The sequence below is a fragment of the Homo sapiens genome, chromosome 14 (genome assembly GCF_000001405.40).
Source record: "Homo sapiens chromosome 14, GRCh38.p14 Primary Assembly".
NCBI classification, from domain to species: Eukaryota; Metazoa; Chordata; class Mammalia; order Primates; family Hominidae; genus Homo; species Homo sapiens.
The window spans coordinates 37272972-37298907 of record NC_000014.9 but is presented as its reverse complement, the minus strand read 5'-3'; the positions used below and the strand labels follow the sequence as shown (position 1 = coordinate 37298907).

General features: G+C 36.8%; 1 protein-coding gene across 13 annotated transcripts in view; it reads right to left on the bottom strand.

Annotated features, from left to right (window-relative positions):
* The window catches only part of MIPOL1 (mirror-image polydactyly 1), a 354425-nt gene that overhangs the window by 253454 nt on the left and 75035 nt on the right, over positions 1–25936 (bottom strand). For all 13 annotated transcript variants that reach the window (NM_001195296.2, NM_001195297.2, NM_138731.7 and 10 more), the window contains one exon: positions 13461–13590. In NM_001195296.2, coding sequence (NP_001182225.1) covers positions 13461–13590 — 130 coding nt within the window. The remainder of the gene's footprint in view (positions 1–13460; positions 13591–25936) is intronic.

The following is a 25936-nucleotide window of genomic DNA, read 5'->3' as shown; positions in this document are numbered from 1 at the left end:
TAGATCCCTGAGGAATCGCCACACTGTCTTCCACAATGGTTGAACTAGTTTACAGTCCCACCAACAGTGTAAAAGTGTTCCTATTTCTCAACATCCTCTCCAGCACCTGTTGTTTCCTGACTTTTTAATGATTGCCATTCTAACTGGTGTGAGATGGTATCTCATTGTGGTTTTGATTTGCATTTATCTGATGGCCAGTGATGATGAGCATTTTTTCATGTGTTTTTTGGCTGCATAAATGTCTTCTTTTGAGAAGTGTCTGTTCGGATCCTTCGCCCACTTTTTGATGGGGTTGTTTTTTTCTTGTAAATTTGTTTGAGTTCATTGTAGATTCTGGATATTAGCCCTTTGTCAGATGAGTAGGTTGCAAAAATTGTCTCCCATTCTGTAGGTTGCCTGTTCACTCTGATGGTGGTTTCTTTTGCCATGCAGAAGCTCTTTCATTTAATTAGATCCCATTTGTCAATTTTGGCTTTTGTTGCCATTGCTTTTGGTGTTTTAAACATGAAGTCCTTGCCCAGGCCAATGTCCTGAATGGTATTGCCTAGGTTTTCTTGTAGGGTTTTTATGGTTTTAGGTCTAACATGTAAGTCTTTAATCCATCTTGAATTAATTTTTGTATAAGGTGTAAGGAAGGGATCCAGTTTCAGCTTTCCACATATGGCTAACCAGTTTTCCCAGCACCATTTATTAAATAGGGAATCCTTTCCCCATTGCTTGTTTTTCTCAGGTTTGTCAAAGATCAGATAGTTGTAGATATGCGGCATTATTTCTGAGGGCTCTATTTTGTTCCATTGGTCTATATCTCTGTTTTGGTACCAGCACCATGCTGTTTTGGTTACTGTAGCCTTGTAGTATAGTTTGAAGTCAGGTAGCATGATGCCTCCAGCTTTGTTCTTTTGGCTTAGGATTGACTTGGCGATGCGGGCTCTTTTTTGCTTCCACATGAACTTTAGTTTTTTCCAGTTCTGTGAAGAAAGTCATTGGTAGCTTGATGGGGATGGCATTAAATCTATAAATTACCTTGGGCAGTATGGCCATTTTCATGATATTGATTCTTCCTACCCATGAGCATGGAATGTTCTTCCATTTGTTTGTATCCTCTTTTATTTCCTTGAGCAGTGGTTTGTAGTTCTCCTTGAAGAAGTCCTTCACATCCCTTGTAAGTTGGATTCCTAGGTATTTTATTCTCTTTGAAGCAATTGTGAATGGGAGTTCACTCATGATTTGGCTCTCTGTTTGTCTGTTATTGGTGTATAAGAATGCTTGTGATTTTTGAACACTGATTTTGTATCCTGAGACTTTGCTGAAGTTGCTTATCAGCTTAAGGAGATTTTGGGCTGAGACGATGGGGTTTTCTAGATACACAATCATGTCATCTGCAAACAGGGACAATTTGACTTCCTCTTTTCCTAATTCAATGCCCTTTATTTCCTTCTCCTGCCTGATTGCCCTGGCCAGAACTTCCAACACTATGTTGAATAGGAGTGGTGAGAGAGCGCATCCCTGTCTTGTGCCAGTTTTCAAAGGGAATGCTTCCAGTTTTTGTTCATTCAGTATGATACTGGCTGTGGGTTTGTCATACATAGCTCTTATTATTTTGAGATACATCCCATCAATACCTAATTTATTGAGAGTTTTTAGCATGAAGGTTGTTGAATTTTGTCAAAGGCCTTTTCTGCATCTATTGAGATAATCATGTGGTTTTTATCTTTGGTTCTGTTTATATGCTGGATTATGTTTATTGATTTGCGTATGTTGAACCAGCCTTGCATCCCAGGGATGAAGCCCACTTGATCATGGTGGATAAGTTCTTTGATGTGCTGCTGGATTCAGTTTGCCAGTATTTTATTGAGGATTTTTGCATCAATGTTCATCAAGGATATTGGTCTAAAATTCTCTTTTTTTGTTGTGTCTCTGCCAGGCTTTGGTATCAGAATGATGCTGGCCTCATAAAACGAGTTAGGGAGGATTCCCTCTTTTTCTATTGATTGGAATAGTTTCAGAAGGAATGGTACCAGTTCCTCCTTGTACCTCTGGTAGAATTCGGCTGTGAATCCATCTGGTCCTGGACTTTTTTTGGTTGGTAAGCTATTAATTATTGCCTCAATTTCAGAGCCTGTTATTGGTCTATTCAGAGATTCAAATTCTACCTGGTTTAGTCTTGGGAGGGTGTATGTGTCCAGGAATTTATCCATTTCTTCTAGATTTTCTAGTTTATTTGTGTAGAGGTGTTTATAGTATTTTCTGATGGTAGTTTGTATTTCTGTGGGATCAGTGGTGATATCCCCTTTGCCATTTTTTATTGTGTCTATTTGATTCTTCTCTCTTTTCTTCTTTATTAGTCTTGCTAATGGTCTATCAATTTTGTTGATCTTTTCAAAAAACCAGCTTCTGGATTCATTGATTTTTTGAATGGTTTTTTGTGTCTCTATTTCCTTCAGTTCTGCTCTGATCTTAGTTATTTCTTGCCTTATGCTAGCTTTTGAATGTGTTTGCTCTTGCTTCTCTAGTTCTTTTAATTGTGATGTTAGGGTGTCAATTTTAGATCTTTCCTGCTTTCTCTTGTGGGCATTTAGTGCTATAAATTTCCCTCTACACACTGCTTTGAATGTGTCCCAGAGATTCTGGTATGTTGTTTCTTTGTTCTCGTTGGTTTCAAAGAACATCTTTATTTCTGCCTTCATTTTGTTATGTACCTAGTAGTCATTCAGGAGCAGGTTGTTCAGTTTCCACGTAGCTGAGCAGTTTTGAGTGAGTTTCTTAATCCTGAGTTCTAGTTTGATTGCACTGTGGTCTGAGAGATAGTTTGTTATAATTTCTGTTCTTTTACATTTGCTGAGGAGTGCTTTACTTCCAACTATGTGGTCTATTTTGGAATAGGTGTGGTGTGGTGCTGAGAAGAATGTATATTCTGTTGATTTGGGGTGGAGAGTTCTGTAGATGTCTATTAGGTCTGCTTGGTGCAGAGCTGAGTTCAATTCCTGGATATCCTTGTTAACTTTCTGTCTCGTTGATCTGTCTAATGTTGACAGTGGGGTGTTAAAGTCTCCCATGATTACTGTGTGGGGGTCTAAGTCATTTTGTAGGTCACTAAGGACTTGCTTTATGAATCTGGGTGCTCCTGTATTGGGTACATATATATTTAGGATAGTTAGTTCTTCTTGTTGAACTGATCCCTTTACCATTATGCAATGGCCTTCTTTGTCTCTTTTGATCTTTGTTGGTTTAAAGTCTGTTTTATCAAAGACTAGGATTGCAACCCCTGCCTTTTTTTGTTTTCCATTTGCTTGGTAGATCTTCCTCCATCCCTTTATTTTGAGCCTATGTGTGTCTCTGCATGTGAGATGGGTTTCCTGATACAGCATACTGATGGGTCTTGACTCTTTATCCAACTTGCCAGTCTGTGCCTTTTAATTGGAGCATTTAGCCCATTTACATTTAAGGTTAGGATTGTTATGTGTGAATTTCATCCTGTCATTATGATGTTAGCTGGTTATTTTGCTTATTAGTTGATGCAGTTTCTTCCTAGCCTTGATGGTCTTTACAATTTGGCATGTTTTTCCAGTGGCTGGTACCGGTTGTTCCTTTCCATGGTTAGTGCTTCCTTCAGGAGCTCTTGTAGAGCAGGCATGGTGGTGACAAAATCTCTCAGCATTTGCTTGTCTGTGAAGTATTTTATTTCTCCTTCACTTATGAAGCCTAGTTTGGCTGGATATGAAATTCTGGGTTGAAAATTCTTTTCTTTAAGAATGTTGAATATTGGCCCCCACTCTCTGCTGGCTCGTAGAGTTTCTGCTGAGACATCAGCAGTTAGTCTGATAGGCTTCCCTTTGTGGGTAACCCAACCTTTCTCTCTGGCTGCCCTGAACATTTTTTCCTTCATTTCAACTTTGGTGAATCTGACAATTACGTGTCTTGGAGTTGCTCTTCTTGAGGAGTATCTTTGTGGTGTTCTCTGTAATTCCTGAATTTGAATAGTGACCTGCCTTGCTAGATTGGGGAAGTTCTCCTGGATGATATCCTGCAGAGTGTTTTCCAACTTGATTCCATTCTCCCCGTCACTTTCAGGTACACCAATTAGATGTAGATTTGGTCTTTTCACATAGTCCCATATTTCTCGGAGGCTTTGCTCATTTCTTTTCTTTTTTCTCTAAACTTCTCTTCACACTTCATTTCACTCATTTCATCTTCCATCACTGATACCCTTTCTTCCAGTTGATCGCATCGGTTACTGAGGCTTGTGCATTCATCACGTAGTTCTCGTGCCATTGTTTTCAGCTCCATCAGGTCCTTTAAGGACTTCTCTGCATTGATTATTCTAGTTATCCATTCGTCTAATTTTTTTTCAAAGTTTTTAACTTCTTTGCCATTGGTTCAAACTTCCTCCTTTAGCTCGGACTAGTTTGATCTTCTGAAGCCTTCCTCTCTCAATTCGTCAAGTCATTCTCCATCCAGCTTTGTTCTGTTGCTGGTGAGGAGCTGCGTTCCTTTGGAGGAGGAGAGGCGCTCTGATTTTTAGAGTTTCCGGTTTTTCTGCTCTGGTTTTTCCCCATCTTTGTGGTTTTATCTACCTTTGGTCTTTGATGATGGTGACATACAGATGGGTTTTTGGTGTGGATGTCCTTTCTGTTTGTTAGTTTTCCTTCTAACAGTCAGGACCCTGAGCTGCAGGTCTGTTGGAGTTTACTGGAGGCCCACTCCAGACCCTGTTTGCCTGGGTATCAGCAGTGGTGGCTGCAGAACAGCAGATATTGGTGAACCGCAAATGCTGCTGCCTGATCGTTCCTCTAGAAGTTTTGTCTCAGAGGAGTTCCCGGCCGTGTGAGGTGTCAGTCCGCCCCTACTGGGGGATGCCTCCCAGTTAGGCTACTCGGGGGTCAGGGACCCACTTGAGGAGGCAGTCTGCCCGTTCTCAGATCTCAAGCTGCGTGCTGGAAGAACCACTACTCTCTTCAAAGCTATCAGACAGACTCTTCAAAGTCTGCAGAGGTTATTGCTGCCTTTTGTTTGTCTGTGCCCTGCCCCCAGAGGTGGAGCCTACAGAGGCAGGAAGGCCTCCTTGAGCTGTGGTGGGCCCCACCCAGTTCGAGCTTCCCAGCCACTTTGTTTACCTACTCAAGCCTGAGCAATGGCGGGCACCCCCCACCAAAGCCTCGCTGCCACCTTGCAGTTTGATCTCAGACTACTGTGCTGGCAATGAGAGAGGCTCCGTGGGCATAGGACCCTCCGATCTAGGTGTGGGATATAATCTCCTGGTGTGCCGTTTGATAAGCCCATTGGAAAAGCGTAGTATTAGGGTGGGAGTGATCCGATTTTCCAGGTGCCGTCTGTCACCCCTTTCTTTGACTAGGAAAGGGAATTCCCTGACCCCTTGCGCTTCCCGGGTGACACGATGCCTCGCCTTGCTTTGGCTCATGCACAGTGCACTGCACCCACTGTCCTGCACCCACTGTCTGGCACTCCCCAGTGAGATGAACCTGGTACCTCAGTTGGAAATGCAGAAATCACCCGTCTTCTGCATCACTCATGCTGGGAGCTGTAGACTGGAGCTGTTCCTATTCAGCCCTCTTGGCTCCATGTAGTAATTTTTTAAAATAGGGAGGGGGTGCAGGGTGCAAAGATGATTATTTTGGCTAGATTACCTATGAAACAGGTGTTGGGAAGATAGTGAGCTAATAAAACAGAATTTTTCACTGATACCTCACAGCTTAGAAGTAATCTGAGAATGAATTGAGTAGACAGCCCAGAGAAAAGTAAGAAAAACTTTTCATGAAGAAAAGCCTTATTACGTAAGAATCTGTACAGAGGAAGCAAGAATCAAGGCTGGCTATGTTTTACTACAATACTGAAACAAATAAAAGCCCAAAAGCAATATCCCCATGAAATTAGGATACGTATAGAGAGGCCAGATAGCATGAACCCTTAATGCTTGGCACCAAGCAAAATCCCACAGGCAGAAGACAGAACCTCTAGCAAAAGGAGCATACAGTCCCACAGAGGTCTTACCAAATTCCATTCCCATCCCATTGCCCTAGGGTTATATAGAAAGGTAGCAAGAGCAATGCCTTGCCAAGAAATGGCAGCTCAAAGAAGGCAAACAGGCCTGAAAATTAAATGTTTATTAGGCTGGGCATGGTGGCTAACACCTGTAATCCCAGCACTTTGGGAGGCCGAGGCAGGCACATCACCTGAGGTCAGGAGTTTGAGACCAGCCTGGTCAACATGGCGAAACCCCATCGCTACTGAAAGTACAAAAATTAGCCGGGGCTGGTGGCAGGTGCCTATAATCCCAGCAACTCTGGAGGCTGAGGCAGGAGAATAGCTTGAACCCAGGAGGCAGAGGTTGCAGTGAGCCAAGATCACACCACTGCACTCCAGCCTGGGCAACAACAGCAAGATATAAGACTCCTTCTCAAAAAAAAAAAAAAAAAAAAAAAAAGTTTATTAAGGAAATTCACTTGTACCATTCTGTTCTGCTAAAAGTTTTTGACAAAATTGCCTATTTCAAGTATGAGCAAGATGCAAAGAAATGATGTGACAACTATGAATACACCACAAATACAACACAAAACATGCAAAAGAAACTAGTTCATAATAAAACAAGAAAACATCAACCAACGTGCTATGATTTGAATGCTTGTCCTCTCCAAAACTCATGTTAAAATTTAACTGCCAGCTGGGCGTGGTGGCTTCGCTTCACACCTGTAATCCCAGCACTTTGGGAAGCCAAAGCGGGCGGATCATGAGGTCCAGAGATAGAGACCATCCTGGCTAATACAGCGAAACCCCGTCTCTACTAAAAATACAAAAAATAAGCCGGGCATGGTGGCAGGCGCCTGTAGCCCCAGCTACTTAGCAGGGTGAGGCAGGAGAATGGCATGAACCCGGGAGGTGGAGCTTGCAGTGTGCCGAGATTGCACCATTGCACTCCAGCCTGGGTGACAGAGTGAGACTCCTTCTCTAAAAAAAAAAAAAAAAAAAAAAAAAAAATTATTGCCATTGTAATATGTAATAGTATTAAGAAGTAAGACCTTTGAGAGGTGATTAGGCCACTAGGCTCCTCTCTTATGGATTGAATTAATGTCATTATAGAAGGGCAAGTTTAGCTCCCTCTTGCCTCTTTTTGCCCTTTTGCTTTCCACCATGTGATGACTTGGCAAGAAGGCCCTTGAAAGATGCCAGCACCTCGATCTTGGATTTCAAGCCTCCAGAACTGTGAGCCAATAAATTTCTGCTCATTATAAATTACCTAGTCCCAGATACTCTATTATTGCGGCAGCATGAATGAAATAAGACACAAGGGAAAGAAGAAAATTTTCCTACCCACGGTTGGCATTTTATAAAGAAAAAGAAAAGAAAATCATTTCAATAAAATAAAAGAGAAGGGGCTAACACAATAAAGTGAAAAGAGAAATATAAAACTTAAGGAAGTAAGTTGAGAATCAAAAATAAATAAATAACATTACATACATTAATTAGAAAGACCATGGAAAAGAACAATGACAATTGGTATTACCAACATAAAGGAAAGATTCACAATCATCACAGTCAATGCAAAAGCAGATTAAAATATTAATCATTATTGAACAGATAACACGTAAGGACAAAAATGTCCCATATAAGTATATCTGGAGTCTCTAAAGTAGAAAACCAAAACATTTGTAGACCTAAAATTTTCATGAGCCAGTTGTGATTGCTCACAGCTATAATCCCAGCACCTTGGGAGGCCAAGGGAGGATTGCTTGAAGCCAGGCGTTTGAGACCAGCCTGGGCAACATAGCAGGACCCTATCTCTACAAAAAAACCTCTTTAGAAAGTAAAATTTCCATGAAATAATAGTATGGAACCATAAAAAAGCACAAGATCATTTCCTTCACAGGAACATGGGTGGAGCTGGAGGCCATTATCCTTAGCAAACTAATGCCAGAACAGAAAACTAAATACCACATGTTATCACTCATAAGTGGGAGCTAACTTATGAGAACACATGGACACATACTGTGGAACAACAAACACTGGGGCCTACTGGAGCGTGGGGCATGGAAGGAGGTAGAGGATCAGGAAAAATAACTAATGGATACTAGGCTTAATACTGGGGTGATGAAATAATCTGTACAAAAAAACCCCACAACCCAAGTTTACTTATATAATAACCTGCAAATGTACCCCTGAACTTAAAATAAAAGTTAAGTTTTTTAAAAAAGGTAAAATTTCCATGAAATAAAGGAAGAATCAAATAATCCTTTGAAAAGCATGCTGTGGTCCCTAAAACCTTATTAAAGAATGATGAACAATTGCCCTGATTCAGCCCTACTTTAAGAATAAAGGATGACTCCTTCAGGTATCTGACAAAAAAAAGACAGACAAACACACACTCACAGCTGGGCACGGTGGCTCATGTCTGTAATCCCAGTACTTTGGGAGGCTGAGGCGGGTGGATCACTTGAAGTCAGGAGTTCCAGACCAGCCTGGCCAATGTGGTGAAACCCCATCTCTACTAAAAATACAGAAATTAGCCAGGTGTGGTGGCACTCACCTGTAGTCCCAGTTACTTGGGAGGCTGAGGTGGGAAAATAGCTCGGACCTGGGAGGCGGAGGTTGTGGTGAGCCGAGATCACGTCACTGTTCTCCAGCTTGGGCGACAGAGCCAGACTCTGTCTCAAAAAACAAACAAACAAACAAAACCCACACACACAAGGGGATGGGGAATCTGTCAAGACTTCTTTTCAGGCAAACAATGTCAGAAGACAAGCGAGTAACATTTTTACAATGTTTAGAATAAAAGGATATTTGACTCAAGAATTATATTCACAAAAAATTTGAATACAAGGATAACACACAGCCAATTTGAAGCATGTTAAATCAGAGAATAAGGTATTTATGAGCTCTTCCTTTGAAAGTGAAATTCATTCACCTGCTGTGATATTGTGAAATACATATTTGGTCATCATTCCACCCTTCCACCCCTTTCCTCACCTACAGGGAATCTCCAAAGTGATGTCTTTTTGTACGCTAATGATTAACTGATAGCTGGCAGCCCTTAGATACCTTCTGGATGGAGGCTGGTCATGAAGAGGGTTGCATGATTAAAACGTTGTGACTTTGAGCTTCAACCCCCAACCTCTGCAGAGGGACCTGGCAGTTAAGTTCATCACCAATGGCCAATGGTTTAATCAATCATGCCTATGTAATGAAGTCTCCATTAAAGGCCCAAAAGAACAGGATTCCTAGAGCATCCTAATAGCTGAACATGTGGAGGTTCCTGGAGGGTGGTGTACCCAAGGAGGGCACGGAAGCTCTGCACCTCTTCCCCCATACCTTGACCTCTGCATCTCTTCATCTGTATCCATTGTCATATCCTTTTTAATAAACGTAAGTAAGATTCCCTGAGTTCTGTGAGCTGCTCTAACAAATTAATCAAACCCAAAGAGGGGACTGTATGAACACTAACTTGAAGCTGGTCAGTTAGAAGTTTCAGAGGCCTGGACTTAACGATTTTTGTCTGAAGCAGGGCCAGTCTTGTGGGACTGAGCCCTCAACCTATGGGATCTGAGGCTTTTTCCAGGTAGATAGTGTCAGAATTTAATTGGAGGACACTCAGCTGGTGTCCACTGCAGAACTGATTACTTGCTTGGTGTGTGGAGGAAATAACTACACATTTGGCCAAAAAAGGCTTCTGTGTTGACTGTTGTGTTGAATAAGAGAAAAGAAGTGCACTGAGTTTGTGTTTCTGTTTCCACTGACACACCCAGGGATTCCTCACAATAAAAAATTCAGGGATAAAAATGCCATCTATGATAAAACTTCCAGCAATGATTATTCAATCCTTTTAAAGTTAAGATTAAACAACAGGGCACACTTTGGCTATAAAAACTAACGTGGCTATAGAAATGAATACAACTTTTACAGATTTTTTAATGTGAAATTCATAATGAAAAAAGCAGAGTTTTAAAGTGCTTCTTTCTTTCTTTCATATGAGAAAAGAACTTTTATCTGAGGAATGCAAGCCCTTTTAATTATCAGGCCCAGAAAGAATGAAAACGAGACTGCAATCATGTCCTACTTGCCACCCTCTGAGCTATGTATTCATCTTTTTTTTTTTCTTGAGACAGGATCTTGCTCTGTCACCCATGCTGGAGTGCATAGGTTCACTGCAGCCTCCATCTCTGAGGCTCAAGCGATCCTCCCACCTCAGCCTATAAAGTAGCTGGGACTACAGACATTTATCACCATGTCAGGCTACATCTTTTAAATAATTTTTTTTGTAGAAACAGGATCCCACTACGTTGCCCACAATGGTCTTGAACTCCTGGACTCAAGCAATCCTCCTACCTCAGTCTCTCAAAGTGTTGAGATTACAGGTGTGAGCTACCATGTCCGGCCTCTATTCATCTCTTCAAACTGCTTGCTATTGCCACAAGTAGCTATAAATTAACCTAATAATGCCATACCAGACACTATGACCCACACCCTATAGCTTAACAATGTATAGCCAATCACTAATTAATGTTATTTCTTGTAAAGTAATTACAGTTCCTGACAAACTTTGTATCAGCCCACTCCCTATCTCTCTTTTTTGCATTTAAAAATTCACTCCTGGCCAGGTGCCGTGCCTAAGACCTGTAATTCCAGCATTTTGGGGGGTCAAGGTGGGCAGATTGCTTGAGCTTAGGAGTTCAAGACCAGCCTGGGCAACACAGCAAGGCCCCATCTCTATTAAAAAACAAAACAACAACCAAAAAAAACCTCAAAAACTTAAAAAAAGAAAACAATTAATAAAAGTCCATTCTTAACTCCTGCTAATAGAAGTGTATTTCAGGGCAACGTGAATCTGAGCTCCCAGGCTGCAATCCTCAAGCTTGGCCCCAATAAACTCTCTACTTATATTAATTTTACTTCAACTTCTTCTTTTAAGGTCAATTCATACCTGAGAGTCACATGATCTTGTCAATTGAAACAATTTACGAGAAAATTCTGACCAGGCCTGGTGGCTCACACCTGTAATTCTAACACTTTGGGAGGCTGAGGCAGGCAGATTGCTTGAGTCCAGGAGTTCAAGAGCAGCCTGGGCAACATGGTGAAACCCTGGCTCTATTCAATTTTAAAAAATAAATATAGATTAAATAAAAGAAAAAGAAAAAAATTTGATGACTCCAACACCTTTTTTTTCAGTCTCATTTGTTAATATTAGAAGAGCTTTTAGAAAATTAATATAGCTTATTGAGAGAAAATATTGCATGAAGTTCAAAATTTTCTTCAGTTTCACTTCAATTGACTATTACTCTTAAATTCAAGTTAATACTTACATAGCACCCACTATGAGCCACATATTTTTCAATATTCAGTGATTTGGCTAGGTGCAATGGCTCATGCCTGTAATCTCAGTGCTTTGGAAGGCCAAGGTGAGAGGATCACATGAGGCCCAGAGTTTGACACCAGCCTGGGCCACACAGTGAGACCCCACCTCTACAAAAAACTTTAAAAATCAGCCAAGCATGGTGGCATGTGCCTGAAGTCCCTGTAGTCATAGCTCCTTGGGAGGCTGAGGTAGGAGGATCACTTGAGCCCAGTTCAAGTCTGCAATGAGCTCTGATTGCACCACTGCACTCCAGCCTGTGTGATATAGCAAGACTCTGTCTCTAAACAACCAACCAACCCATACATATATATATATTTTTAAATATATATAAAATATTTTACATATATACATATATAGTCAACAAGTAATTTACTCCTTATGACAACCTGTGTAAGTCCTCATAACCTGCTCTATTATATACATTTTGTAGACCAAAAAAACTGAGCCTTAAAGACTTTGGGTAATTTGTCCATCGCTATACAGCAAGGAAGCAGCAGAACCAATATTCAAAGATAGACTGGGTTCAGAATCTGTGCTCTTAGTCTCTACATTACACTGCTTTTCAAATATGACAACATATAGAGAATGAATTGATTTTTATCCAATTAATTTATGGCTACCTCCAATCAACCCCAAGCCATCTATCCTTCTAGGTAATGATGTTTAGGTATATAAGAGAAAATATTTGAAATAATATTTCCTTATAGATAAAGATGGTTATTTTGGAATAGGCATTGTGGAATTTAGATGATTTTTTTTGTTTCTTGATTTGTTTTTTTCAATGAGTTTAATGCTGTATAATGAGCCTATCAATCTTCAAAAAAAATGAAGCCATTAATCTAAACAAAAAACAAATATTACCTAATCACAACTTGGACACATATTATTAATTATTTATGGCTTTTTGTCTCCCCAGTGAACCATGTTTTAATTAGTACTTTACTCTGTTCCTCCACAGAGCCTAGGACAACACTGGACAAGGTAAACATGCCATAAGTATGCTGATTGATCATTAAATATTAGATTACTGGATTCTATCTATCTGTACAGGTAACATATTTCTAGATGTTCTAGGGCCTTTCTACCCAAAGCATATTCCTTAGACTAGCATCATGTGTAACATCTGGGAGCTTGTTATAAGGACAGAATCTCCAGTCCCAACCCAGGCCTAATGAACCAGAATCTGCACTCTGACAAGATCTCCCAAGTGGTCAGATTGTACATTAGAATTTGAAAAGTACATATTTCTAGGGCATTGTTTCTCTAAGTGTAGTCCATCATCTACCTATCAGAATCACCTGGGTTGCTTTAAAAAATGTAGATTCTTAGGCTCCACCCTATTCAAGTATCACTCACATTTAAAAAACAAAGCTAAAAAAACTGCAAGTAAAAAGCAGTAAAGAACAGGAACAGGGATATTAAGCAGAGAGCAGTGAAAGACTCAGATAGCTGAAATGAATTTTAAAAGTGATAATGAGGAGAAGAGGAGATAATAAAAAGAGGAGTCACATATGAAGAAACAACAAAACTATGAAGAAATAAAGAAAGTAATTGTATTGAGAGTGATGTGCATTTCTTTCTTTCTTTTTTTAAACTGACTGCTATTCCTGACAGGCAAACTAGCATGCCAAAGGTTTTAGAAAAAGACTGGAGAGGCCGGGCGCGGTGGCTCATGCCTCTAATCTCAGCACTGAGGGAGGCTAAGGTGGGCAGATCACAAGGTCAGGAGTTCGAGACCATCCTGGCTAATGTGGTGAAACCCCATCTCTACTAAAAGTAAAAAAAAATTAGCTAGGCTTGGTGGCAGGCGCCTGTAGTCCCAGCTACTTGGGAGGCTGCGGCAGGGGAATCACTTGAACCCGGGAGGCGGAGGTTGCAGTGAGCTGAGATTGCGCCACTGCACTCCAGCCTGGGCAACAGGGCAAGACTCCGTCTCAAAAAAAAAAAAAGAAAAGAAAAAAAGAAAAAGACTGGAGACATGCAATTTCCTAGTGTAACACATAAGCATAAGTCACATTTTTAAATATGTAACTACCACCTAAAGCATGCCTTTTATAAGTGTTCCTAATATCATACTGAGTTTTAAATGTGTACATACACTTTTAGAGACATTTCCATATGCTTGGCTCGTGCAATTGCTTCATCTCTCTCCTCAATGGCTAATTGCAGTCTAGACATAACAGCTTCATCACGTTCCTTCTGCGCAAAATACACTTCTTCAACCAGAGCTACCAAAATATATAAAGCGCACAATCAATCATACAAAATAAAGGACAAATGTATACCTTTAGCAAAAATAAAAGCCATAAGTAATTATTACTGTAAGGACTACTCAATAAACTGAATTAATATCAATCAATCAATTCATAAAATATTATTTTTAATAATAGGTACTGCAAAACTGGGATACCACTTCATACCCCTAAAAAATTTAAAGCAAAAATTTAAAGGTCTGATAATAGCAAATGTTGTAAGCCTGTGAAATAAAGAAAACTCTCACACATATTGCAGATAGGCAGATATATTTCTACAACCATCTGAAGAGCAATTTGGCAATGTTTATTGAAGTTGAAGACAGGCCTAGGCTAGCAAATCCCCTCTTTGGTATATAGCCTAGAGAAATTCATGCACATATGTAAATGTAAACATGTATAAAAATACTTACTGTAGCATTGCTTATAATAGCAAAAGCTTAGGCATAACCCAAATGTCCATCAACATTAACAGGAATAAATAAATTACATTCAGAATGGAATACTACCCAGCATTTAAAATGACTTGACTATGGACAAATGGACAAATCTCAAAAACAAAATGCTGACAAAAATAGCAAGTTTCAAAGTAAAGCAACTCTACCAACTATTTATGAATAGACACAATTAGTAAAAACAATACAATGAGCAGGCCAGGCACAATGGCTCACGCCTGTAATCCCAGCACTTTGGGAGGCCGAGGCAGGTGGATCACCAGGTCAGGAGATCGAGACCATCCCGGCTAACATGGTGAAACCCCGTCTCTACTAAAAATACAAAAAATTAGCCAGGCATGGTGGTGGGCACCTGTAATCCCAGCTACTCAGGAGGCTGAGGCAGGAGAATGGCATTAACTCAGGAGGCGGAGGTTGCAATGAACAAAGATTGTACCACTGCACTCCAGCCTGGGCAACAGTGTGAGACTCAGTCTCAAAAATATAAATACATAAATAAAAATAATAATAATACAATGATCATGGAAAGTATAAACACAAAATTCAAAATAGTAATCATCTCAGTGGGAAGGTGGAAGGGGAGAAAAGAAAATGGGTAAGGGAAGAATAAAATAGGACAATGCTGTGCTGTTATAGTAGTGCACATCTGCACAGAGCAGGGGGCACTGTTGATATAGATTTTAATACAAATGGCATCATCTAGATTTTTGCAGCACTATATCAGGAGGTTTAATGTTATCTAAAATTATCATTTCTTAGGCATAATTTTATTGTTTGTATGTTTGAAATCTTACATAATTTTTAAAACATTACTGCAATGTGGGCTGGGCATGGTGGCTCACACCTGTAATCCCAGCACTTTGGGAGGCCAAAGTGCTACAGAATATCCGTCCAGTAAGGGCAATAATAACAGCTTGGAGAAACCAACATGGTGTATCTTGCATAGTATGGAAAACAGTATGGTGTATGGAAGAATATGAGTTTTAACTGTGATTTAAGGTACTAAAGGTTAGCAAGCTTGTTTGTGTTAATTTCTTAAATTATTTTAGTTGAAGTTCAGGTATATAAAATGGGTAAAATACCACTATTCATGATGTTATGAAAAATTAAATTAGAAAATATATGAAAGCTCTTGGCCGAATAAATAAAATACAGTGGATCATCAACAAATGTTAGTTCCATTCTACCACTACAGTAACCATACTCAAACCACAGACGCACAATGTGACTTAACTCCTAGACATATTAATAATGTGGTTTTGATTAATTTGTACTGCTTACATATTAAAAATCTAAGTCAAAATTCCTCAATTTTTAGCCTTTTTCATTGGCAGGCAAAAATTATGTAAGAGACTGAAAGAGAAATTATTCAGAATCCATTCTATATTGTATGCTGCATACCACAATTATATTAATAATAGTTTATCAAAAATATTGGCTGGGTGCAGTGGCTCTTTCAAAACAGCATGAGGCGCCAGGCGTGGTGGCTCACACCTGTAATCCTAGCACTTTGGGAGGCCGAGGCAGGTGGATCACCTGAGGTGAGGAGTTTGAGACCAGCTTGGCCAACATGGCAAAACCCCATCTCTACTAAAAATACAAAAAATTAGCTGGATGTGGTGGCGGGCACCCGTGATCTCAGCTACTGAGGAGGCTGAGGCAGGAGAATCGCTTGAACCCGGGAGGTGGAGGTTGCAGTGAGTAGAGATTTCGCTATTGCACTCCAACCTGGACAACAGAATGAGACTCTCAAAACAAACAAACAAACAAACAAACAAACAGCAACATCAAAAACAAAAAAACAGCATGAGGAATTGATACAGTAGTCCCGTTTTATCTGTAGTTCCTTTTTCCATGGTTTCAGTTATTCATAGTCTGAAAACATTGTGAAACACTTCAGAAATAAACAGTTCATAAGTTTTAAATTACATATTGTTTTGAGTAGTGTAATGAAATTTTATGCCATCTAGCCCAGGGTGTGAACTGACTGGCTAATTAGATCCATGCTGAATACTCTACCACCACTTTTCCACTACTCACAATTAAGAAATAAATCATAACTACCTTCTTTTTTTTTTTTTTTTTTTTTTTGAGACAGGGTCTTGCTCTGTCATCCACGCTGAGTGCAGTGGCACAATTACACCTTACTGCAGCCTCTACCTCCCAGGCTCCAGCGGGGTTTCACCAAGTTGGCCAGGCTGGTCTCAAATTTCTGGGCTCAAGTGATTCTCCCACCTTGGCCTACCAAATTTTTATTTTTTTGTAGAGACAAGGTCTCACTGTGTTGGCCAGGCTGGTCTCGTACTCCTGGGCTCAAGTGATTCTCCCACCTTGGCCTACCAAAATGCTGGGATTATAGGTGTGAGCTACCATGCTGGGCCTAATAACTATCTTGATTAACTGTATATTAATCTGCAACAATCCTTGGGCAGGGATCCAATGTGGTGGTGCATGCCTGCAATCCTAGCTACACAGGTGGCTGAGGCAGGAGATCGCTTGAACCAAGGAGGTGGAGGTTGCAGTGAGCCGATATCACGCCATTGCACGAGAGCGAAACTCCATCTTAAATAATAATAATAATAATAATAATAATAATAATATTACTGCAATATTAGACAAAGAGGGCCTCAAATACCTGAATCGCTGAACCAAATTTTATTTATACTGTCAAACTACAAAATAAACTTCAGAAAAATTTTGAAATGCTCTTTTAGTTTTAAGTGTTATATACAGAGGGCTTCTTTGGTCCTGTGTGATCAAGAGAAAACACTTTTTTTTTAATGCTACTTCAAATCCAAAGATGTATATGTGCATTTAAAGGACATTACCATTTATGTATTCTAAGGTTAAAATTTAAATGCCAGAAAACACACATGCACAAACACATAAAATCTGGTTATAGAATTTATAAATGATAAGAATGTTTTTCAAATTAAGGTATTACTCTAAAGATTCAATGCAATCCCTATCAAAATTCTACTGTAATTCTTCACAGAAATAGGAACAGAAATAGAAATAGAAAAAACAATCTAAAATTCATATGGAATCACAAAAGACCCCAAACAGCCAAAGCAATTTTAAGCAACTACCATTTAAAATATATCACAAAGCCAGAGTAATCAAAACAGCATGATGGCTAGGTGCAGTGGCTCATGCCTGTAATCCCAGCCCTTTGGGAGGCCAAGGCGGGTGGATCACCTGAGGTCAAGAGTTCGAGACCAGCCTGGACAACATGGCAAAACCCCATATCTACCAAAAATACAAAAATTAGCTGGGCATAGTGGTGCGTGCCAGTAATCCCAGCTACTCAGGAGGCTGAGGCAGGAAAATCACTTGAACCTGGGAGGCGGAGGTTGCAGTAAGCTGAGATCGTGCCACTGTATTCCAGCCTGGGCGACAGAGCAAGACTCTTCTCAAAAAAACCAAACCAAACAAAACAACAAAAAAACAGCATGGTATTGTCATAAAAAGACACACTGACCAATGGAACAGGATAGAGCAGCCAGAAATAAATCCACACAATTATGGTCAACTGATTTTCAACAAAGTGCCAAGAACACACAATGGAGAAAGTACAATCTCTTCAATAAATGGTGCTGGGAAAATTAGATATCCACATGCAGAATAAAAATAGGCATCATCTCATCCCTTATTCAAGAATCAGTTTAAAATGCACTAAAGACTAAAACATAAAACTGGAAATTATAAAACTACTAGAAGATAACACAGGGGGAAAGTTCCATGACATTGGTTTAGACACAGACTTCTTGAATATGACCCCAAACGCACAGGCAGTGAAAGTAAAAAAAGACTAATAGGATTGCATCAAATTAAAAAGCGTCTGCACAGTTAAGAAAACAATAATGAGACAACCTACAGTGTAGGAGAAAATATCTGCAAATGACACATTAATGAAAAGAATAATACCAAAAATATACAAGGAACTCGAACTATTCAATAACAATTAGCCTGACCAACATGATGAAACCCTGTCTCTACTAAAAATACAAAAATTAGCCAGTCCTGGTGGCATGCGTCTGTAATCCCAGCTATTTGGGAGGCTGAGGCATGAGAATCACTTGAACCCAGGAGGTGGAGGTTGCAGTGAGCCAAGATCGTGCCACTGCACTCCAGCCTGGGCGACAGAGTGAGGCTCAGTCTCAAAACTAAATAAAATAAAATAAATAAAAATGGGCAAAGAACCTAACAAATATTTCTCAAAAAAAGACACACAAATGGTTAACAGTTATATAAAGAAAGCTTAACATCTCTAATCACCAAAGAAAGGCAAACTAAAATCACAATGAGCTATCATCTCACCCGTTAGATTGGCTATTATCAAAAACACGAAAGATAACAAGTGTTGGTGTGGATGTGGAGAAAAGCAAACCATTACACAATGTTGGTGGTATTGTAAATTACTACAGCCATTTTGGAAAACGGTATGAGGTTCCACAAAAAACTAAAAGTAGAGTTACCATGTGATCCAGCAGTTCCACTTCCAGGTATGTATCCAAAGGAGTCGAAAGAAGTATGTTAAAGAGATGCCTACACTCCCATGTTCACTGCAGCATTACTCACAATAGCCAAGATATGGAAACAACTGAAGTGCCAAACAATAGATAAATGAGTTTTTTTAATGTGGTACAATGGAATACAATACAGCCTTTAAAAGCTAGGATTCAGGTTTTTCAGCTGGAAAAGCTGAAAAAAAGAAGGGATATTCTGTCATTTGCAACAACGTGGATAAACCTAGAGGACACTATGCTAGGCGAAATAAGCCAAGCACAGAGAGACAAATACCTCATGATCTCACATATGTGGAATCTAAAAAAGTGGAACTCACATAAGTAAAGAGTAGAACAATAGCTACCAGAGGCTGGGGATGAGGGTGGAGGAGGAAAGAAGAGATATTGGTCAAAAAATACAATTTTCAGTTAGACAGGAGGAATAGGTTCTGGTGATCTATTACACATCAAGGTGACTTATAATGAAGAGTAATGTATATTTCAAAAAGCTAAAATAATGCATTTTAAATGTCCTTATCACCAAGAAACAGTAAGTATTTGAGGTGGTGAATACGTTAATCAGACTGATTTGATCATTTCACAATGTATGTACATGTACTGAAACATCACATTGCACTTCATAAATTTGCAAATCATACATCAATTAAGGGAATAATATATACGATTATTATTTGTCAATTAAAAATAAAACAAAAAAACCCTCAAAACCAAAATTAAGGTATTTACTGCATGATAATTTTTAACATCTATTAGGTTAGATGTGAAATTTGTTGGTTATAAAAAATCCTGATTCTGGAATTCAGTACTTTTGAAGGATCAATATGCAACTCTCAAACATTTTTAGTAAAGAAAACTTAATTGTAAACACTGAGCTTTTCCAAGGTAGATGACTATAACAAAGTTCACTAGAAAATCAATATAGCATTTTAGTTGGAATTTGCTCATTAAACACCCACAGCTCTAATGCAAATTATGATGGAATGAATAAAGCAAATACGCATGCTTCTTTCTTTTTATTAAATGTAAAATCTACTGTTAATTGCATCTCGTATGTCATACAAACTTTTCTCCTTAACTGTTAAATAGAAGCTTTAACAAAAGTCATTAGAGATTCTCTTTCTTTGACTTGAATAAATTTCAATATTTGTTCAGTAAAGGTTCACAGCAGTTAAATTACATTAACAAATATTATTAGCTACTATGTAAGCCAACCAAGTAAAATACTTATATTGTAGGTAAAACAAATCATTGGGTGTTTACAATAATATTTGGATATCTCCATTTTTAAACACGGTTATCAAATATCCTATAATTCTTAGTCAAATGAGAAAGATTCAGAGAGGATCACCCGTACCCCCCTCAACCAAATACTCAAATTTGTTTAGTAAGCTAATTGTTTTCTAATATGGGCAAGAGTAAATATGAAGAAGCTGAACCACACTAAGTATGAGTTTATTGAGTCAAGGCAGAGTACATATTTTCTTAGTAGACCCAAGTCTATTGGCAAATCCATATTCCACACTTTTCAAACTACTTTTAAAATACAGTACGAGTGAGACAGTACCTTGGATAACATTCTAGTTTAAACACTGGCTCATGATTCTCTAAATAACATAATTGGGAGGATAGACATTTCACAGGAAAAAGAATCCATCTGTTAACATCTTATGGTAGTTATGTAAATATAAAAGGCTAAATTAAAAAGAAGGAAAAAGAAATCATTAGGATTTTAAACATATTAAATAACTGGATAATAATTCATGTTGGAAAATTCTAAGCAATATAATATACACAATAATTTTGTAAAAGACCAGACTTTACTACATATGAAAGAATCTCAAATTCTATGAATATCTACCATTAGTTTTACATGAGAAATAACCATCTGGAGAAGACTTATAATGATGTTAAATTCATTTCTTGCAAATATGAGAACAATTAACATTTATAAAACCACCACATATATATTCTAGAACTACAAACATTATATATTTTAATTTCCTTAATAATTGTAATTTTTCCTTCTTTGCATAAACTGGCTATTGGAAATTTTAAAATAGATGGTAGATGCCCCACACCAGTAGAAAATTAACCAAAACCGACTCAAATTAGTTCGATGTTTCTGTTTTTGGCATAACAATGCTGAATTCAACTTATTACTCCAGAACTTCTTTCATAGACCAGACTATTTGTTTTTTTAAAACTGGACTTTGCAACATTTTATACAATTACTTTGTAAATAACTTTTTCTGATTAAACAGTAGTACAAACTCATAAAAATTTAAAGGAGAAAAATATTTAGTATAGCTTTGTAACCCTGTAATTAAAATAAGCAGCATATGTTCCTATATTCTTCAGTATTCTTAAAAAATATAAAATAGCAGGTGAAATTTTATCATTTGGACATGCTATATGTGATTCAACTAAGATGCTCCTAATATTAGATTGTACACCATTTCCAACTATTGGCTATATAAACAACACTGTAATGGATATCTTTGTATACACATCTTTATGTATATACACACCTAATTACTTAAGAAAATTACTAGAAGTATGATGGCTAGATTAAAAGTCAGCTTTTAAAGCTCTTAATATATATTGTCAAATTTTCCCCTGTAAAGTTGCTGTAAATTTATACACTCAGCATCAGTACAGGAAGTGTTCAAAATTAATTTGAAAATTATGCAAAATAGTATGTTTCAGTAGCAAGACAATGAATCAAAAGCATTTTTTAAAAAACCCTCGATTACTATACACATGTATTTACTACAGAAAACTCAAAGACTATATTAAAAAAGTTTTCTGAAAATATGCTCTATGCTTACATTCAAAGATTTAATATATGTGATATTGGAGCTACCTTTTCCAATGTGAAAGAGAAAAGTTTATCCCTGAAGCATTAAAATCAGTACTGATAATTGTATGTCTTTTGAAATATAACTTAAAAAATTTTTATTTACTAAACAGACTATCAGCCTTAAATTTGATACCAATATGAAAATTCTTTGAAATATAACTGCTATCTAAACATTTTCTAATCTCATTTCCTCTTTAGAATCATTAGACGTGTGAAAAAGTCTTTAGATAACTTTCTGAAAAGTTTTATTTTTGTTATTTTTATGTTTTAAATACCTTAATTACATATATTTTCAAAGGCTTGACATTATGCTAAAGTCCATTGTATGTTAAACCCAATAAAATATTTCCAGCTGTTGGCTATTCTTATGTATAATGGATCCTCCATCTACTCCAATTTTATTGCTTTTCCAGAAAAAAACCAAACTTTTCTAGGAAGCAAGGATACAAATTGGTTATATTCTTTCCTCAAGTATTATTTGACCTGGCACTCGTCAGAATTCATTCTGATTCATATCCATAGAATTCTGTAGCCAAAGACAGTAATATAATCAATAGTCTATCAATATTTCTACCTGCTGTGTTTCACAGACATGGGCCTTCATGTTCTTATCTGAAATTAGTGTTCATATTCTTGAAATCCTTTTTCTTTTCAAATTAAAAAAATACAAATATAAATTTAATGTAGCATTATAATTTAATACTATTAAGGCATTCAAGTATTAGGTTAAAGGCTATCACATTTTATTGATGCCCATTATATACACAGAAAAATTAGATTCCAATATGTACTATTTCTTAAAGATAAAAGTTATGCCATTTTCTGTTCTGGTAAAGAAAATTAACTCTTGTTCCTCTTAATTAGATGGTCAACATCATCTGAGATATGATACATAGTAACAGATAATCTTTTTACAAGAGAATAATGTAAACATTTTCTATAATATAATTTTTTCCCATTTTAATCCACTGGGGTGTCTTGATATACTTGCTATAATGGTAGATTACAAATCTATATTTTTACCCTTTACATTTTAACCTGAATAGAAAAACTTAAGTTGTAAGTTTCAGGGATTCTGTGACTGATCCTTTGAACAATCACAATTAAACTCCTCTTCTCTCTACCAAAAGAAAATAAACATTCTCTGTAATAAAAAATATATTGACAACATATTTTTTTAATTTACAAAATATCAGTCTAAATTTGCATGCAGAGAAAGAAATCTATGTTTAAAGAGAAAAATCAAATGCTTGCATCATCAGTACAAGTAAGCTAAGCAAATTATGTAACCATTGAATTACATGTTAAAATGCAGTAAGATAGATTAGATAATAGAGAGAGAGAAAGGGAGAGACTTAAAAACACAAGACTTAGGAACTAAGGAGTTCTTTTGGCTAAAACCTAATATTGGCTTTATTTCAGTTTAATTGGAAGAGGATCTCAAATTCATCTTCTCCATGAGATATCAGGAACCTGGATTTCTCTTTGTACCAAAGGTTAATAAGAAATGTGTCTGCAAAAGTCAAACAGCATTAAATACCAAAAACTGATTATTATTCTACAGGAGTTGTTCTGTCATTCATAATCTCTCCATGCTCCAACCTTCCACAGCTAATCTTTAATGGATGACATGCAAGAAAGAAAAATAACTAACATATAAAGCAGAGGCTCTAAAGTGAGCTTTTAAGAAATAGAAAAATAAGGCTTTTAAAGAAATACAAATATTTTAAATATCACAAAATAACATATAAAACACTATTTAAATACTTTTACGTAAAATTCAAGCATCATCTGCATACTATAAAAGCAATAGAATAGAATTTAATAGAATAACAAAAATTAAAGAAACAAAAACACTAGATAATGCCCACTGTGACTGTTTAGGAAAAATGAAAGGTTTAATTGAACAAGCTATTTTTAAAAGGCATAAAAACACATCATCACTGATATAAGAGCAAATTAATGGATGCAAATCAGGCCATAGCATACTATGTCTCATTGTTAAACTCAATTTAACTAAAATAAATTTTAAAATGCTTGTGTTTTAATGACTTTTTTTAGGTGAGAAGAGATACATACTCAAAGAACAAAAATGCAATGTTTCTCCTCTGCTTCTCTAAAACATCCCCTAGTATTTGAAGGTCATTCATACAATTTTCAAATAATATTACCCACATGTATAATTTAATGAGCTAAAACTCAGTAAAAAGTCTTAAACAGCTACAGTGAAGTAAATCATTAACACATAAGGAGTGAGATGGTCATTTCAGCTTTCCTAAGACTAAATAAGAATTATTTATTACACATTTTAACTTTTTTTTAGAGATTTTAAATTTTAAAAAAATATTTGCACACTTTTGAAATAAGGTTAATTCTAAAAATCTAGGAAAACTCAAAACTGAGGATCAAATTAAATAATAAATAAAAATTCTTTGTAAACTATTTTAACAAAAGAAATAAACAATCAATTCCTTGTGAAACAAAACCATATATAAATAGCTATCCCATACTTATCTATATAATTAGTATGGGATAGTAATTTACATAACCACACAATTAGGAACACTTTGAGTATGTCCTCTATTAGATGAAGAAGTCTTGAGAAAACAAGATGGTTACATCATCATCTTATCATCATAATTATTATTTATTGAGTGCCTTCTATGGGTTAAGCACTTCGTAAACATTATCTCACTTAAGCATCACAACAACCTATAGTAGATTTTTAACTAATGCTTAGTGAGGCTGTCATTACACATGATAAGTGTCAAAAAGATTAGAACAAAGGTCTGAATCCCAAGTCTGCGCATTTAACCACTACTTACAACATGTATGGTGTATTATGATTGAGAAGTAATACCAGGCAAAAAAATGCCTGAGATCCCAAATCTGTCTTATATGCTGATCTATATTCAGTGTCTAACACAGTGCCTAGAACATAATGAGTCCACAATAAATATTTGTTTGATTTGTAAAGAAGTAAGCATAGTTCCTCTGAAACATTTAAGTGCTTAATAAACAGTATCAATGATGGTGACAATGACAGTAATGATGGTGATGTGAGAAAGGAAAAGAAAGGTAGTCAACCATCAGAGATTTTAACATGATAGGGGACAGAGCTGAGTTTCAAACTATCATAAAATCACATTAGAATAACAGATTTGTGTTATGAAAAAACCAGTGGGGAAACAAAGGAAAAAGACTTGAAGCTAAGGAACAGTCTACATGAAAGTTTATCATAGGTACATATTGCAGAAAAGCTGAAATCTTTTGCATCTCATTTCTTTTATTTTGAATTCACATTTGAGTAAAATGTATTAGTGATATTAAATATCTATATCTCAACTGTGATTTTATTAATAATCCAATACTTTGTTTCTTCTTTTGCTTGTCCATTTTTCAGTTTAGTGCCCTTTCAAAATCTATTAACAGTAACCCATTAATTTTTAATTAAAAGCCAAACAATAAAATGTCTTTTCATAACTGCTGGAAATGATGACATCAAAGATTTAAGAATTTCATAAACGTAAAAGCAATAAAATAATATTAATTTGAGACACAACTTACTGAGTACTAGTTATATACCATGTCCTTACATATATTAACACTAATCCTTAAAATAATCTGGTAAGTTGGTTAATATTCACATTTTACATCGGAGAAGATAAACCCAAAGAGGCTAAAAAACGTGCCCAACGGTAGAGAATCAATATCAAGTATCCAAGCTGTAATTTGAACCTGGATCAATGTGACTCTAAGGATTTTGGTCTTCCCAATTGCTCCAAACTGCCTACAGAGAACTGGACATCTTTTGTTTTATGTGGTCTTGACTGTACCAGATTCTTCTAAATTATACAATCACCTTGGAAGACAAGATGGACTAATATATATATAGATACATAATAAACATAAATATATAAAAATAAATACAAGGAAAAGCTGAAAGACTAAAAAAAGGGTGTGGGTAAAAAATGGCAAAACTGGATCACAGCCATCATATGGTTTTCATAAAACCATAGAGTCTTTATGTCTCAAATTTTAAGATTAGAGTGCAAGTAATTTCTAAAAAAAAAATCACATCTTTTGAAAGCAATGTTTTTTTTTAACACTAAATCTATGCTCATTATAGAAAATCTGAAAAAGGCAGAAACTGTTCACTGAAAAATCAATAGTTTCACTTAAAGACCACCAACATTTGCCTCTTATTTTATATAATATACATGTATGTATATTTTTATTTTTATAAAATCATACTATAGTTTTTCCCCTATTTCACTTAATAGTTATGAAGTTTTTCTCATATCCTCAAATATTCTTAATTATTACAAAATGTCTCAAATTATAAATGTATCATAACTTATTTAATAATTCCCTTATGGTTAGACTGTTTTTAATTTTCTTGCTATTGCAACTAATATTATATGAATATCTTTAAATATAAATCTCTATATTTTACATACTCTAAGAAAATGCCTACT